Source organism: Homo sapiens, chromosome 19, assembly GCF_000001405.40.
Source record: "Homo sapiens chromosome 19, GRCh38.p14 Primary Assembly".
In the NCBI taxonomy this organism is placed as follows: domain Eukaryota; kingdom Metazoa; phylum Chordata; class Mammalia; order Primates; family Hominidae; genus Homo; species Homo sapiens.
In genome coordinates, this window is record NC_000019.10 from 48,570,328 (window position 1) to 48,588,056 (window position 17,729).

General features: G+C 49.9%; 1 protein-coding gene across 2 annotated transcripts in view; it reads left to right on the plus strand.

Moving 5' to 3' along the window:
- SULT2B1 (sulfotransferase family 2B member 1) overlaps window positions 1–17,729 on the plus strand; it is a 47,256-nt gene that overhangs the window by 18,156 nt on the left and 11,371 nt on the right. Inside the window, exons 2-3 of one of the 2 annotated variants that reach the window (NM_177973.2) lie at window positions 5,614–5,756; window positions 16,902–17,110. In NM_177973.2, coding sequence (NP_814444.1) covers window positions 5,614–5,756; window positions 16,902–17,110 — 352 coding nt within the window. Of the gene's footprint in view, window positions 1–5,408; window positions 5,757–16,901; window positions 17,111–17,729 lie in introns of those variants that run through there. The other variant, NM_004605.2, reaches the window with a different exon arrangement.

Sequence of the window (17,729 nt, forward strand, 5' to 3'; positions counted from 1 at the left end):
CACCACCATACCCAGCTAATTTTTGTATTTTATTAGAGACGGGGTTTCGCCATGTTGGCCAGGCTGGTCTCAAACTCCTGACCTCAGGTGATTTGCCTGCGTCAGCCTCCCAAAGTACTGGGATTACAGGCGTGAGCCACCGAGCCCGGCCAGTTCTTTTTCATCGCTGAGTAGTATCGCATGGCACAGAATACTGCTGTTTATCCACTTACCCATGCAAGGACGTTTGAGCTGTTCCCAGGGTTTGGCAATTATGAGTACAGTGGCTATAAACATGAGTGTAGATGAGGGTCAAGTGTAGATGTTGGTTTGAACATATAGGCTTCCATTTCTCTTGGACAAACACCCAGAAGGGAGAGTGACTCTGGTTTTTGCTGGTTTTTGTTTTCCGTTTTTGTTTTTGTTTTTTTTTTCTGAGACAGAGTCTCACTCTGTTCCCCAGGCTGGAGTGCAGTGGCGCGATCTCGGCTCACTGCAACCTCTGCCTCCCAGGTTCAAGATTCTCCTGCCTGAGCCTCCCGAGTAGCTGGGACTACAGGCGCCCGCCACCACGCCCGGCTAATTTTTTGTATTTTTAGTAGAGACGGGGTTTCACCATGTTAGCCAGGATGGTCTCGATCTCCTGACCTCAGGTGATCCGCCCACCTCAGCCTCCCAAAGTGCTGGGATTATAGGCATGAGCCACCACACCTGGCCTATTATTATTTTTAGAGATGAGGTCTTGCTTTGTCACCCAGGCTGGAGCACGCAGTGGTGAGATCATAGCTCCCTGTAGCCTTGAACTCTGGGCTCAAGTGATCTTCCCACCTCAGCTTCCTGAGCAGCTGTGACTACAGGTACAGGCCACCATGCCTGGCTAATTTATTTATTTATTTATTTATTTATTTTGAGATGGAGTTTCGCTCTGTCCCCAGGCTGGAGTGCAGTGATGTGATCTCAGGACACTGCAACCTCTGCCTCCCGGGTTCAAGCGATTCTCCTGCCTCAGCCTCCCGAGTAGCTGAGATTACAGGCGCCCACCACCGTGCCCAGCTAATTTTTGTATTTTTAGTAGAGATGGGGTTTCACCATGTTGGCCAGGCTGGTCTTGAACTCCTGACCTCAGGTGATCCGCCCACCTCAGCCTCCCAAAGTGCTGGGATTACAGGCTTGAGCCACAGTGCCCAGCCTGCCCAGGCTGGTCTTGAATTCCTGGCTTCAAGCGATCCTCCTGCCTGGGTCCTTCAATAAATATTGACAAGCACCTCCCTGCTGCCAGGCTCTGCTGAGAGTACTTTAGGTACATTGGCAAACAAGACAGAACAATAACAAAAGAAAAAAACACCAGATTTTTTTAAATTCCCAGGCTCATGGAGCTTACATGCAAGCGGAGAAGATGGTCAATAAACCATCAATGTCATATGTCAACTGTAGAGTAGCTCAGGAGTGAGTGACAGGTGTGATGGTAGGCAGAGCAGGGGAAGAGGGTGCAGGGGGTCTAGCTGTAAACAGGATGCTGTAGGGTAGCCCTCATGATAAGGGGTGACATTTGGAACAAAGACTTGAAAAAGGTGAGGACAAGAGGCATGAGGCACCATGCCCGGCTGCACTTGTGTTTAATGAAAACTATGATGGCTGCTGTGTGACCTTAGGGGACTATATTAACCTCTCTGGGCCTCCATTTCTTGGAGCATGAAGTGGTCCTTTCACTACTCACTTCCTGAGGTTCTGGGAGAAGTCTAGGATCATGCATGTTCTTGGCATAGAGTTTCTGTACGGGTGGCTCCCCTCCTGGTGCCAGGCCCTTTCCTGGGATTGGAGGGGGATGGACAGAGGGAATTCAGAGGTTTAAGGAGGCTGTGGCCCCATCTCCTGGGGCAAGGAGGCTATTGGTCTAGAAGGTCTGCATTTAGAGGGTGACATCTGTGCTGGGAGCGGTGGCTCATGCCTGTAATCCCAGCACTTTGGGAGGCCGAGGTGGGCGGATCATGAGGTCAGGAGACCGAGACCATCCTGGCTAACACAGTGAAACCTCGTCTCTACTAAAAATACAAAAATTAGCCAGGCATGGTGGCATGCACCTGTAGTGCTAGCTACTAGGGAGGCTGAGGCAGGAGAATAGCTTGAACCCAGGAAGGCGGAGGTTGCAGTGAGCTGAGATCACACCACTACACTATAGCCTGGGCAACAGAGCAAGACTCCATCTCAAAAAAAATTAAAAAAAAGAGGGTGATATCTGACCTGTGTCGAGGTGGAAGGAGGAGATGGGAAAGGCACTCAGAGAGTGGAAAATGGGCGTGCCTGGAGCTGGTGTCTGCAGCAAGGAGGCCAGAGGAGGAGGCACTGGCCTAGGCTTTGACCTGAGGGCACTGAGGTGCCACAGGAGGGCTGGGAGCAGAGGAGGGGCAGCGGAGAAGACCTGGAGGAGGCTGAGTCGAGGGCCCACAGGGAGAGGAGAAGGCCTGAGGTGGGCAGGAATGCAGGGACAGAGAAGGAACCAGGACCCAGTAGTCCATGGAGGAGGGAGGCAGGAGGGCTGGGAAGTTGGGCCTTTAAGAGTTGCATGTCTGCTGGGCACGGTGGCTCATGCCTGGAATTCCAGCACTTTGGGAGGCTGAGGCAGGCAGATCACCTGAGGTCAGGAGTTTGAGACCAGCCTGGCCAACATGGTGAAACCCTATGTCTACTAAAAATACAAAAATCAGTTGGGCGTGACGACAGGCACCTGTAGTCCCAGCTAATCAGGAGTCTGAGGCAGGAGAATCGCTTGAACTTGGAAGGCGGAGGTTGCAGTGAGCCGAGATCGTGTCACTGTACTCCAGCCTGGTGACAGAGCAGGACTCCATCTCAAAAAAAAAAAAAAAAAAATTTACATGTCCAGGGGGCTTGCAGGCAGAACCATTCACCCTCCAGGAGGCTGAGTCATTCCCGGGGATCACCTGCCTGCTGTGGCCACCCACCCGGAGGAGCTCTGTCTGCTGTCCCTGTCCCTGGCCTCTCGCTGGCTTAATTGTCCCTTTCATTCCTCCACTCAAATCGAGCGATATCAGCACGCCAGGCCCTGGACGTGTTTTGTGGGAACAAACAGGCCTGTTTGTCTACGTCCCAGGCGTAGAGAAGTTCGTCCCGGGGCCAGATTTGTTTTACAAGGTGGACAGCAGGCACAGGGTACCTGTTTTAGGAATGCGAGAATGCAGCCACGTAGGCATGTGGGTGGGGGACAGGGGGGTCCTGGCTCTGCGCTCAGGCCCAGAGAGTGGCAGGGTCGGGGGACATTTCCAGGAGCGGGAACAGCAGCTCCAGGGGCCCAGAGGTAGGACTACTGCTCGGTGCATTTGGAGGTCTTGGCTGGACTGTGGCGTTCATGGGGAAGGAGGGACTGAGTCTACAGGGCTGAGAGGCCACCACAGCTTGGGTTCAAATCCCAGCTCTGTTCAGCTCTTGTGTGGCCACAGTCAAATCGCTTCCCTCCTTGAAGCTCCATGTCCTCTCTGTAGCAATGGAAGCTACAGCGGAGCCCAATTCTACCCCACCCACTGCACGACAATTGGTTTGTTTCTATGTTTGTTACTAGAGTCAGGGTCTCACTCTGTCACCCAGGCTGGAGTGCAGTGGCGCAATCTCAGCTCACTGCAGCCTCAAACTCCTGGCTCAATTGATCCTCCCGCCTCAGACTCCCAAGTAGCTGGGACTACACGTGTATGCTACCACAGTCGGCTAATTTTTTATTTTTAAACAGAGACAGTGTTCTCGCTATGTTGCTCATGCTGGTCTCGAACTCCTGGCCTCAAGTAATCCTCCTGTCTTGGCCTCCCAAAGTGCTGGGACTACAGGTGCAAGCCACTGCGCCCAGCCCTTGAGGAGTTTTCAAAGTATCCACAGCACCCAAGGCTGAGAACTGCTACAGCAGCTGAAAGCCATAAGTGTCTTTGACTTTCCTTTTGTCCTGGTAAACCCCTTCATTCCTTCCTTCCTTCCTTCCTACACTCATTCAATCAAACACTGGTTGAACACCAACAAGTCCCAGCACTGTGGGCTCCACCCTGGCCTCTGGGGAGTGGGGGAGGGACCCCCGATTTGGAGATTGTAGGTGCCAAGAGGAACGGGCAAGATGCCCTCCTATTCATTCATTTATTCCTTCAGGGCCTCTCCAAGGGCACAGGGTCTTTTCTTGTTGGCATCTGGGTTTTCCTCTCCTGTAAGCTGGGAAGGAGATTTCTCCCTCAAGGAGCTGTTGGCCAGATCAAAGACTAAAATAATGCTAAACAGAGCTTCCGTTTCCTGATAAATGTATCAGGAGCCAAGCACTTAAAATATATTATCCCGTTGAATCCCCAAGTAGGATTAAAACCTCAAAGCAGAGATTGCTCTTATCCTCACATGACAGATGAGGAAACTGAGGATCAAAGAAGTGAAGTCCGCTGCCCAAGGCACAGAAAGGACAAGTAGGACCTATGGAAGCCCAGCCAAGGCCCAGCAGGCGCTCAGTGGCTAATCCTCCTGAAAACTAATTACCTCACTGCGCCTGCCCACTGGACTAAATTTGCCTGGTAACCGATGACATCATCACTAATTCCGCGCCCACGCTCAACCTATGGGATAACTGATGACATCACTGAACAAACAAAGTAACTGCAGTTTATTGAAGGCCTACTGTGTGCGCAAGGCTGTGCTAGGCAGGCCTCCTCTGAGTTCACATAAGGCCCCGTGGTGCCTGCTACTGCATGAAATAGCCATAATAATTTTAACTCAAAGTTATGGAATGCAGACTATGAGCTACTCTCTGTTTTAACCTTTTTTTTTTTTTTTTTTTTTTTTTTGAGACAGAGTCTCGCTCTGTCCCCTGGGCTGGAGTGCAATGGCACAGTCTCGGCTCATTGCAACCTCCACTTCTTGGATTCAAGCAATTATCCTGCCTCAGCCTCCCGAGTAGCTGGGATTGCAGGTGCCCACCACCACACCTGGCTAATTTTTGTTTTTGTTTTTGAGATGAAGTCTCACTCTGTTGCCCAAGCTGGAGTGCAGTGGCGCGATCTCAGCTCACTGAAACCTCCACCTCCTGACCTCGTGATCCACCCGCCTTGACCTCCCAAAGTGCTGGGACAACAGGTGTGAGCCACCGCGCCTGGGATCTTTATTAACTTTTTAAAATTAAAAATATATATATATATATATTTATATATATTTTGAGATGGAGTTTCACTCTTGTCGCCCAAACTGGAGTGCAATGGTGCCGTGATCTCGGCTCACTGCAACCTCCGCCTCCTGGGTTCAAACGATTCTCCTGCCTCAGCCTCCGGAGTAACTGGGAGTACAGGCATGCGCCACCACGCCTGGCTGATTTTTGTCTTTTTAGTAGGGGCGGGGTTTCACCATGTTGGCCAGGCTGGTCTCAAACTCCTGACCTCAGGTGATCCACCCACCTCTGTCTCCCAAAGTGCTGGGATTACAGGAGTGTGCCACTGCGCCTGACCAGCTTTATAAAGTTTATAGGGACAGTGTCACCACTTTACAGAAGAGGGACTGAGGCTCTGAGGAGGAAGTTCCTTGCCAGGGTCCGAGTGTCGCCACCCTGAGAACTCCAGCACCCACCTCCCTACTCTCCCTCATGGCGTCTCCCCCACCTTTCCACAGCCAGAAGTTGCCAGGTGAATACTTCCGGTACAAGGGCGTCCCCTTCCCCGTCGGCCTGTACTCGCTCGAGAGCATCAGCTTGGCGGAGAACACCCAAGATGTGCGGGACGACGACATCTTTATCATCACCTACCCCAAGTCAGGTACCTGCCGGGCTGCGGGCGTCGGGGGCTGGGGAGAGTGGGGAGGGGGTGCGGCAGAGGACAGGAAAGGCACATAGAGAAGGAGGGGAGGAGGAAAAGTGGGGCCGGGTCTGTTCAGAGCGGTGCCCCTGCCAGAAGTAGCCTCCCAGGGATACCCACCCGGTGCCCAGCCTCTCCCCTCCAGGTCAGTTCTCAACACTTCACCTTCCCTGACCTCCCTGGCTGAAATAGCGTCCTCGTTCTGTTCCTCCCTTTCCCCTTTACCCTCTACTTCTCTTTTTTTTTTTTTTTTTTGTAGAGATGGGGTCTCGCTACATTGCCCAGGCTGGTCTTGAACTCCTGATCTCAAGTGATCCTTCTGCCTTGGCCTCCCAAAGTGCTGGGATTACAGGCGTGAACCACCACACCTGACCATTTTTATTTTTATTTTTCGAGACAAGGTCTTGCTCTGTCACTCAGGCTGGGGTGCAGTGGTGCAATATCAGCTCATCAAACCTCCCACCTTGGCCTCCCAAAGTGCTGGGACTACAGGTGCTGGTCACCACCAAATTGTATACTTTTTTTTTTTTTTTTTTTTTGGAGGTCTTGCTCTGCTGCCCAGGCTTCAGTGTGATGGTACAATCTCGGCTCATTTCAGCCTTGACCTCCTGGACTCACATGATCCGCCCAACCTCAGCCTCCTGAGTAGCTGGAACCACACGTGTGCACCACCATGCCTGGCTAACTTTTGTGTTTTTTGTAGGGACAGGGTTTCATCATGTTGCCCAGGCTGGTCTTGAACTCCTGGGCTCAAGCGATCTTCCTGCCTCAGCCTCCCAAAGTGCTGGGATTACAGGCATGAGCCACCGCGCCTGGCTAAATTGTATACTTTAAAGTGGTGAATTACACACAATTTGAGTGTTTGAGTTTGAGACCAACCTGGGCAAAATGGCAAACCCCCCTCTATTTTTTTTTTTTTTTTTTTTTTTTTGTGACGGAGTCTCTCTGTCGCCCAGGCTGGAGTATAGTGGCATGATCTCAGCTCACTGTAACCTCTGCCTCCTGGGTTCAAGCAATTCTCTGCCTCAGCCTCCTGAGTAGCTGGGATCACAGGTGCCCGCCACCATGCGCGGCTACTTCTTTTTATTTTATTTTATTTTATTTTTGTATTTTTAGTAGAGACAGGGTTTCACCATCTTGGCCAGGCTGGTCTTGAACTCCTGACCTCATGATCCACCAGCCTTGGCCTCCCAAAGTGTTGGGATTACAGGTGTGAGCCACTGAGCCGTCTTTTTTTTTTTTTTTTTTTTTTTTTTTTTTAGAGACAGAGTCTTGCTCTGTTGCCCGGGCTGGAGTGCAGTGGCGTGATCTCGGCTCACTGCAATCTCTGCCTCCTGGGTTCAAGCGATTCTCCTGCCTCAGCCTCCTGAGTAGCTGGGATTACAGGCGTGTGCCACTACACCCAGCTAATTTTTGTATTTTTAGTAGAGATGAGGTTTCACCGTACTGGCCAGGATGGTCTTGATCTCTTGACCTCTTGATCTGCCCACCTCGGCCTCCCAAAGTGCTGCGATTACAGGTGTGAGCCCGGTCAATAAGTAGCATTTAAATGACCAAAGGGAAATAACAAAAACTCTTCCTTCCCTTTTTTCTCCTCTCTTCCCCACCTCCTCCAACAAGTATTTATTAAACACATATTATGTGCCAGGCAGTGTTCTAAGTACAAAGAAGGCTGCAACTCTCCAGACAGACTGAAATGTCTCCCTTTATGGAGCTCACATTGTACTGGGGCAACCCAGAAAATAAATCAACAAATAAAAATATGACACTATGATTGGTGGCAATAAATGCTGTGAAGAAAAGTAGAGGGTAGGCGGGGCATAGTGGCTCATGCCTGTAATCTCAGCACTTTGGGAGGCTGAAGTAGGAGGATCACTTGAGGCCAAGAGTTCAAGCCCAGCCTGGGCAACATAGCAAGACCCCATCTCTAAAAAAAAAAAATTAGCCAGGCGTGGTGGTGTGCGCCTGTAGTCCCAGCCACTTGGGAGGCTGAGGCAGGAGGATCACTTTAGCTAGAGAGGTCGAGGCTCCAGTGAGCTGCGATCACACCACTGCACTTCAGCCTGGGCAACAGAGTGAGACCCTGTCTCAACAAATAGAAAAAGGTACAATTCAATGACTTTGCCATGTGCGTGGAGCTGGTCATCCATCACCACAATCAATTTTAGAATATTTTCAGCCGAGCACAGTGGCTCACACCCATAATCCCAACATTTTGGGAGGCCGAGGCAGGAGGATCTCTTGAGCCTAGGCGTTCGAGAGCAGCCTGGCCAACATGGTGAGACCTCATCTCTACAAAACATACAAAAATTAGCCAGGCACGATAGTGTATGCCTGTAGTTCCAGCTACTTGGGAGGCTGAGATGCGAGGATTGCTTCAGTCTGGGAGGTGGAGGTTGCAGTGAGACGCGTTCACCCCACCGCACTCCAGCTTGGGTGGCAGAGACTGTCTCAAAAACAAAAAACTGAGTGGGCCAGGCACGGTGGCTCATGCCTGCAATCCCAGCAGTTTGGGAGGCTGAGGCGGGTGGATCATTTGAGGTCAGGAGTTCGAGACCAGTCTGGCCAACATGGTGAAACCCCGTGTCTACTAAAAATGCAAAAACTATCCAGGCGTGGTGGTGCGTGCCTGTAATCCCAGTATTCGGCAGGCTGAGGCAGGAGAATTGCTTGGAACCGGGGGGTAGAGGTTGCAGTGAGCCAAGAGTGCACCACTGAACTCCAGCCTTGGCGATAGGGCAAGACCCTGTCTCAAAAACCAAAAACAAATAAAAATAAAAATAAAGAACATTATCATCATCCAACAAGAAACTCTGGACCTATAAGCCATCACCTCCCAATCCTCATATCCCCTCCCCCCTGGGCCCTGGTAACCACCAATCTCCGTTCTGTTTCTATGGATTTTTCTATTTTGGGCATTTCATGGAAATGGAATCTACACTATGTGGCCTCTTGTGTCTGGTTTCTTCCTGAGCATCACGTTGTCAAGGTTCAACCACATTGTAGCATGTGTCAGAGTCTCATTCATTTTTATGGTCCAATAATATTTTATGTTATGTATAAACTATATTTTATTTATTCATCAGTTGATAAGCATTTGGATTATTTCCACTCTGGGGCTTATTATGAATGAAGCTGCTACGAACATTGCATGCAAGTTCTTTTTTTTTTTTTTTTTGAGACGGAGTCTCGCTCTGTCGCCCAGGCTGGAGTGCAGTGGCGTGACCTTGGCTCACTGCAAACTCCGCCTCCCGAGTTCACGCCATTCTCTTGCCTCAGCCTCCCAATTAGCTGGGACTACAGGCGCCCACCACCATACCCAGCTAATTTTTTGTATTTTTAGTAGAGACGGGGTTTCACCGTGTTAGCCAGGATGCTCTCCATCTCCTGACCTCATGATCCACCCGTCTTGGCCTCCCAAAGTGCTGGGATTACAGGCACGAGCCACCGCGCCCGGCCTTTTTCTTTTCTTTTCTTTCTTTCTTTTTTTTTTTTTTTTTTGAGACGAAGTCTCGCTCTTGTCCCCCAGGCTGGAATGCAATGGCGCAGTCTCGGCTCACTGCAACCTCTGCCTCCTAGGTTCAAGCGATTCTCCTGCCTCAGCCTCCTGAGTAGTTGGAATTACAGGCACCTGCCACCACGCCCAGCTAATTTTTGTATTTTTAGTAGAGACGGGGTTTCACCATGTTGGCCAGGCTGGTCTCGAACTCCTGACCTCAGGTGATCCACCTGCCTCAGCTTCCCGAAGTGCTGGGATTACAGGCGTGAGCCACTGCTCTCGGCCTTGCATGCAAGTTCTTGTTTCTATTTTTATTTTTTGAGGCAGGGTCTCGATCTTTCGCTCAGGCTGGAGTGCAGTGGTGCAGTCTCAGCTCACTGCAGCCTTGACCTCCTGGGCTCAAGCTATCCTCCCACCTGAGCCTCCTGAGTAGCTGGGACGACAAGTGCACACCACCACGCCCAGCTAATTAAAAAAACTTTTTTTTTTTTTCACAGACGAGATCTCACTGTGTTGCCCAGACTGGTTTCAAACTCCCGAGCTCAAGCAATTCTCCCTCCTTGGCCTCCCAAAGTGTTAGGATTATAGGAGTGAGCCTCTGCACTGGGCCCTGCACACAAGTTCTTACGTGGACATATGTTTTCTTTGTTTTTTATGGAGACAGGTTCTCACTGTTGCCCAGGCTGGAGTGCAGTGGCGAGATCTCTGTTCACTGCAACCTCTGCCTCCACAGGTTCAAACAATTCTCCTGCCTCAGCCTCCGGAGTAGCTGGGACCACAGACATGCACCACCACGCCCAGCTAATTTTTGTATTTTTAGTAGAGACGGGGTTTCACCATGTTGGCCAGGCTGGTTTCAAACTCCTCACCTCAGTCAATCTACCCACCTCAGCCTCCCAAAGTGCTGGGATTATAGGCGTGAGCCACCGTGCCAGCCCGAAGTGGCTTTATCTTTTTTCATTCTTCCCAGCAATAGATGATCCTCTATTGCCCCACATCTTCTCCAGTGATTAGCATCAACAGAGATTTACTTATTGGAGACAAGGTCTTGCTCGGTTGCCCAGGCTGAAGTGTAGTGGGAAGATCATGGCTCACTGCAACCTCGAACTCCTGGGCACAAGTGATGCTCCCACCCCAGCCTCCCTAATAGCCACCACACCCAGCTAATTTTTGTAGCGATAAGGGTCTCTGGTTGGTCTCGAATGCCTGGGCTCAAGCGATCTTCCTGCCTCAGCCTCCCAAAGTGCTGGGATTACAGGCATGAGCCACTGTGCCTGGCCAGTTTTTTTCTAAAGCTATTTTGATAGGTGCCTACTGGTGTTTCACTGTAGTATTAATTTGCATTTCCCTAACAGCTAATGGTGTTTGAGCATCTTTTCATGTGCTCATTAGCCATCATATATATTCCTTTTTTTTTTTTTTTTTTTTTTTTGAGATGGAGTTTCACTCTTATTTCCCAGGCTGGAGTGCAATGGCGCGATCTCAGCTCACTGTAACCTCCACCTCCCAGGTTCAAGTGATTCTCCTGCCTCAGCCTCCCTAGTAGCTGGGATTACAGGCATGTGCCACCATGCCTGGTTTTTGCATTTTTTTTTTTTTTTTAGTAGATCGGGGGTTTCTCCATGTTGGTCAGGCTGGTCTCGAACTCCCAATCTCAGGTGATCCGCCCAACTCGGCCTCCCAAAGTGCTGGGATTACAGGCATGAGCCACCGCACCTGGCCATATATTCCTTTTTGTTTGTTCTATTACTTGCCACTGACTTGAAGCTCACAAATGTATTATTTGGTAAAGTGTTGAAATATTTTTCCTCTTTTGAATTGGATTGTTTTCTTATCATTGAGATTTGAGAGTTTTTTTTTTTTTTTTGAGACAGAGTCTCGCTCTGTCACCTAGGCTGGAGTGCAGTGGCGCGATCTCAGCTGCCTCCCAGGTTCACGCCATTCTCCTGCCTCAGCCTCCCGAGTAGCTGGGACTACAGGCGCCCACCACCACGCCCGGCTAATTTTTTGTATTTTTAGTAGAGACGGGGTTTCACCGTGTTAGCCAGGATGGTCTCGATCTCCTGACCTTGTGATCCACCCGCCTCGGCCTCCCAAAGTGCTGGGATTACAGGCGTGAGCCACCGTGCCCGGCCGAGAGTTCTTTATATGATGTGAGTACAGATCCTTGATCAGATACTTGTTTTGCAAATATTTTCTCCCAATCTATGGCTTGTCTTTTCATTTTCATATCAGCGTCTTCTCAGAGTATGTTTTATTATTATTATTATATTATTATTATTATTATTATTATTATTATTAGAGATGAAGTCTCGCTCTGTCGCCCAGGCTGGAGTGTAGTGGTGCCATCTTGGCTTACTGCAACCTCCGCCTCCTGGGTTCAAGCGATTCTCCTGCCTCAACCTCCCGAGTAGCTGGGATTACAGGTGCCCGCCACCATGCCTGGCTAATTTTTGAATTATTAGTAGAGACGGGGTTTTGCCATGTGGGCCAGGCTGGTCTCGAACCCCTGACCTCAGGAGATCCACCTGCCTCGGCCTCCCAAAGTGCAGGGATTACAGGCGTGAGCCACTGTGACCAGCCTTGATTTTGCTTATGTTTTTCTTTCTCCTTATACCTTGACATTGTCCCATCTTGGAACTTTAAACAAATAAGTTTCTGGTTTTTTTAAATAGTTCCGTGGTATTTCATAACATAGGATATACAATAATTCTTGCTTAACCAGTTTCCTAGTGACTGATATTAATGTTCAATCTTTTGCCTATGTATATACAATGTAAACTTTAAACACAATGCCTTGTACATGCAGTACTTGGCATTGAACACACTTACCTCTAGGACAAATATCTGGACAAAGAATTGCTTGGTCAGAGTCTGTACATTTGTAATTTTGATATGTAATGGCTACATTTCCCTCTATAGAAATTGTGGAAGCTTGTTCTCTGAGCCGGGGGTGTGGTTAACACCTGAAATCCCAGCACTTTGGGAGGTCGAGGCAGGCGGATCACTTGAGGCCAGCAATAGGAGACCAGACTGGCCTACATGACCCCATATCTACTAAAAATACAAAAATTAGCTGGGCATGGTGGTGCGCGCCTGTGGTCCCAACTACTCGGAAGGCTGAGGCATGAGAATTGCTTGAACTGGGGAGGCAGAGGTTGTAGTGAGCCAAGATCGTACCAATGCACTCCAGTCTGGGCAACAGAGCGAGACCCTGTCTCAAAATAAAATGAAAAAAGAATTATTTGCAGTCAGGCACGGTGGCTCATGCCTGTAATCCCAGCACTTTGGGAGGCCAAGGCAAGTGGATAGCTTAAGCCCAGGAGTTCAAGACCAGCCTGGGCAACATGGCAAAATCCTATCTCTACAAAAAAAAAAAATTAGCCAGGCGTGGTCGTGCATGCCTGTAGTCCCAGCTACTTGGGAGGCTGAGGCAGGAGAATCGCTTGAACCCTGGAGGTGGAGGTTGCAGTGAGCCGAGATCACTCCATTGCACTCCAGCCTAGGCAACAAGAGCAAAACTCTGTCTCAAAAATAAAAAATAAAAGAAAAAACAGAAGAAAATACCAAGTGTGGCAAGGATGTTGAGAAAATGGGGCCCTTGTGCACTGTTGGTGAGCATGTAGAATGGTACAGCTGCTATGGAAAACAGTTTGGCAGTTCCTCAAAAAATTAAAGATAGAATTACCATATTAACTCAGCAGTTCCACTTCCAGGAATATGCCCAAAAGAACTAAATACTAGGTGGGGGCACTCTGACAGATATTTGTACACCAATGTTCATAGCCACATTATTTGCAATGACCAAAAGCTGAAACTATCCAAATATCTGCCGTTCATGAATGAATGGATAAACAAATTATGCTATATTCATACAATGGAATATTATTCAGCTGTAAAAAGGAAGGAAATTCGTCCGGGTGCAGTGGCTCATGCCTGTAATCCCAGCACTCTGGGAGGCCGAGGCGGGCGGATCACCTGAGGTCAGGAGTTCAAGACCAGCCTGGCCAAAATGGCCAAACCCCGTCTCTACTAAAAATACAAAAATTAGCCGGGCCTGGTGGTGCGCGCCTGTAGTCCCAGCTGCTTGGGAAGCTGAGGCATGAGAATGGCTGGAACCCAGGAGGCGGAGGTTGCAGTGAGTGGAGATTGCGCCACTGCACTCCAGCCTGGGCGACAGAGCCAGACTGTCTCAAACAAACAAACAAAAGGCCAGGCACAGTGGCTTACGCCTGTAATCCCAGCACTTTGGGAGGCTGAGGCAGGCAGATCACGAGGTGAAGAGATTGAGATCATCCTGACCAACATGGTGAAACCCTGTCTCTACTAAAAATACAAAAATTAGCTGGGCATGCTGGCGTGCGCCTGTAGTCACAGCTATTCGGGAAGCTGAGGCAGGAGAATCACTTGAACCCGGGAGGTGGAGGTTGCAGTGAGCTGAGATCGCGCCACTGCACTCCAGCCTGGAAACACAGCAAGACTCCGTCTCAAACAAACAAAAAACACCACACACAGGAATAGCTAAAATAGGGTGCAGCCACTTCCTCTAGGGCTGAAGCCAAACTCCCAAGAAAGAAAGAAATTGGGAAGAAGGACTTCCCTGCCCAACCGGCTCCCCACACAAGATTAGAGTTTCGCTGCAGAGGTATGGTCATGACCCACTGGGTGACTGAGAAGTTCACTGAAGTGCAACAGGCCACTGAAATTTGCTAGGGGGAGGGGTAAACGTCACTGCGTGTCTAGTGCAGGGCTGGCCCCTGTCCATCACAAGATCCCGCTAAGAGGAGCTCGTGAGAATCAGGAAGAGCCCCATCCTCATTCAGTGTTCCTCCAGCGCCCTCTGCTGACAAGGTTTAACACTGAGCTAGCTGGCAGAGGAGAAATGTTTACAGGGTCCAGCTCCAATATCACAAAAACGGCAGAGAGGCATGAAGTTGGAGCCACCAGCCTGTAAACTGATAACTGGTACAAGGTGGTTGTTAGAATGAAATCCAGTGAATGGATTGGATGTGGTGGCTTACGCCTGTAATCCCAGCACTTTGGGAGGCCAAGGCAGGAGGATCGCTAGAGGCCAGGAGCTCCAGACCAGCCTGGGCAACACAGTGAGACCCCATCTCTACAAAAATTTTAAAAATTAGGTGGGCGCAGGCTGGGCATGGTGGCTCATGCCTATAATCCCAGCACTTTGGGAGGCCAAGGCAGGTGGATCACCTGAGGTCAGGAGTTTGAGACCAACCTGGCCAACATGGCAAAACCCCATCTCTACTAAAAATACAAAAACTAGCCAGGCGTGGTGGCACACTTCTAGTCCCAGCTACTTGGGAGGCTGAGGCAGGAGAATTGCTTGAATCCAGGAGGCAGAGGTTTCAGTGAGCCGAGATAGAGCCACTGCACTCCAGCCTGGGCAACAGAGTGAGACTCCTTCTCAAAAAAAAAAAAAAAAAAAAAAAAGCTGGGTACATGTGGTCTAGCTACTCCAGAGGCTGAGGTGGGAGGATCACTTGAGCCTGGGAGTTGGAGGCTGAAGCTGAAGTAAGCTGTGACTGCAACAGTGCACACCAGCCCAGGTCACAGAGCGGAATCCTGTCTCAAAAAGAATTAAATGCAATGAATACTAACAGAAAGTAATTTTGAACGTAATTGTTTCTCTTCTGAACAGCCTGTGGTCTCCTGAAATTCAAAACTGTGAATTGGGTCCTTGATGAGGTCCCTTTCCACTAGGTAACATTCTGTGGCTCCCCACAGAAATAAAGAGGTGAACCTCAGCCGGGCGCAGTGGCTTACTCCTGTAATCCCAGCACTTTGGGAGGCTGAGGCAGGTGGATCACTGGAGGTCAAGAGTTCGAGACCAGCCTGGCTAACATGGTGAAATCCCATCTCTACTAAAAATACCAAAAATTAGCCAGGCGTGGTGGTGCATGCCTGTAACCCCAGCTACTAGGGAGGCTGAGGCAGGAGAATCACTTGAAACCGGGAGGCGGAGGTTGCAGTGAGCCAAGATCGCGCCATTGCACTCCAGCTTGGGCAACAAGAGCAAAACTCCGTCTCAAAAAGAAAAAAAGTGGGGGTAGGGGGGAGGGATAGCATTAGGAGATATACCTAATGTTAAATGATGAGTTAATGGGTGCAGCACACCAACATGGCACATGTATACATATGTAACTAACCTGCACGTTGTGCACATGTACCCTAAAACTTAAAGTATAATAAAAAAAGGGGTGACCCTCAAAAGTGGGCAGTGAAAAGTGAAAAGAGCAGAGATTTTTATGTCCAGACACCTGGGTTCAATTCCAGCTTTCTCCATGTATTAAAGGAGTGCCTGCTGGGCATGATGCCTCTGCTCCCAGCACCTTGGGAGGCTGAGGCAGGAGGATTGCTTGAGCCCAGGAGTTCAAGACCAGCCTGGGCAACATAGTGGGACCGTATGTCTTCTAAAAATAAAAATAAGAAATTAGCCAGGTGTGGTTGTGTGCACCTGTGGTCTCAGCTACTCGGGAGGCTGAGGCAGGAGGATCTCTTAAGCCCGGGATTTCAAGGCTGCAGTGAGCTGTGATCACACCACTGCACTCCAGCCTGGGTGACAGAGCAAGATTCTGTCCCCAAAAAAATAAATAAGTAAAGCAATTCTGGCTGTACTAATAGATCAGCCTCAGAATTTCAGCGGCTGAAGCCAAGTTTGTTTCTTTTTCCTATAAACTGTAGTTGGTGCAGGAAGGGTGGAAGGAAGTTGGTGGGGGGATATCCATGCATTCCCAGACATTTGGTTCCTTCCATCTTATGGCTCTGCCATCCCCGGGAGTCCCAGATTCTCCCCTGGAGTCTCTGTATCCAGAAGCAGAGAGGGAGTGGAGAGTCACGTGGCGTGCGTTTATGGGCCAGGCCTGGAAATAGCCGCACATCACATCGCCGCCACCTATACTTCCTTGGCCAGACCCAGTCTCTTGGCCCCACACATAGCAGCAGGGGAGAAGAGAAAAGGTCATCACGCCATATTCCCAGCAGAAAAATGAAATGGGGTTGGGTGGACAGCTCACCAGTCTCTGCCCTGCACCACTTTCCTAGCTTTGTCCCCTTGGACGAGCGACATGGTTTCTGTAAGGCTCAGTTTCTGGCTCCGAAAATGAGGTTAAGCAACCTTGCCTTCTCTGCCAGCTGTAAGGAATCAGTGTGATAAAATAGGTGGTAAATTGCTCAATAAATGCTGTCAGGCAGGGCGTGGTGGCTCACAGCTGTAATCCCAGCAGTTTGGGAGGCCGAGGTGGGCAGAGCACCTGAGGTCAGGAGTTCGAGACCAGCCTGGCCAACATGGGGAGACCTCGTCTCTACTAAAAATACAAAATTAGCCAGGCGTGGTGGTGGGCGCTTGTAATGCTAGCTACTCGGCTGAGGCTGAGGCAGGAGAATTGCTTGAGCCTGGGAGGTGGAGGTTGCAGTGAGCCGAGATCGCGCCATTGCACTCCAGCGTGGGCAACAGAGTAAGACTCTGTCTTAAAAAAAAATAATAAAAGGTGGCAAATTGCTCAATAAGTGCTGTTGTGATTATTCTGATGATATCTCCCTCTTCAGCCCTCCCACACCCAATTAATCTGCTCGATTTCTCCCAACAGGCACGACCTGGATGATCGAGATCATCTGCTTAATCCTGAAGGAAGGGGATCCATCCTGGATCCGCTCCGTGCCCATCTGGGAGCGGGCACCCTGGTGTGAGACCATTGTGGGTGCCTTCAGCCTCCCGGACCAGTACAGCCCCCGCCTCATGAGCTCCCATCTTCCCATCCAGATCTTCACCAAGGCCTTCTTCAGCTCCAAGGCCAAGGTTGGGAGGAGGGGTGTGTGTCAGTTGGGAGGGGCTGCATGGGTGTATGGGGTAATGGGGGGACGGAGCATAACTCATTGATTCATTCAGCACCTATTTGTTAAACACCTACTATGTGCCTGACTCTGATCTAGCACAGTGGTCAATATACACACAGAAATGCCTGCCCTTTGGCAGGGAGTGATGGCTCATGCCTGTAGTCCCAGCACTTTGGGAGGCTGAGGCGGGAGGATCACTTTGGGCCAGGAGTTTGAGACCAGCTTGGGCAACATAGTCAGACCACATCATTACAAGAAATTTTAAAAATCAGTCAGACGTGGTGGCACACACTTGTAGTCCCAGCTACTTGGAATGCTGAGGTGGGAGGATCACTTGAGCCCAGCAGGTCAAGGCTGCACTGAGCTGAAATCACCTTACTGCACTCCATCCTAGGCAACAGGGCAAGACTGTCTCAAAAAAAAAAAAAAAAAAAAAAAAAAAAAAAAAGCCGGTGCTGGCATGGTGGCTCACGCCTGTAATCCCAGCACTTTGGGAGGCAGAGGCAGGCAGATCACTTGAGGCCAGGAGTTCAATACCAGCTTGGCCAACATGGTGAAACCATGTCTCTACTAAAAATACA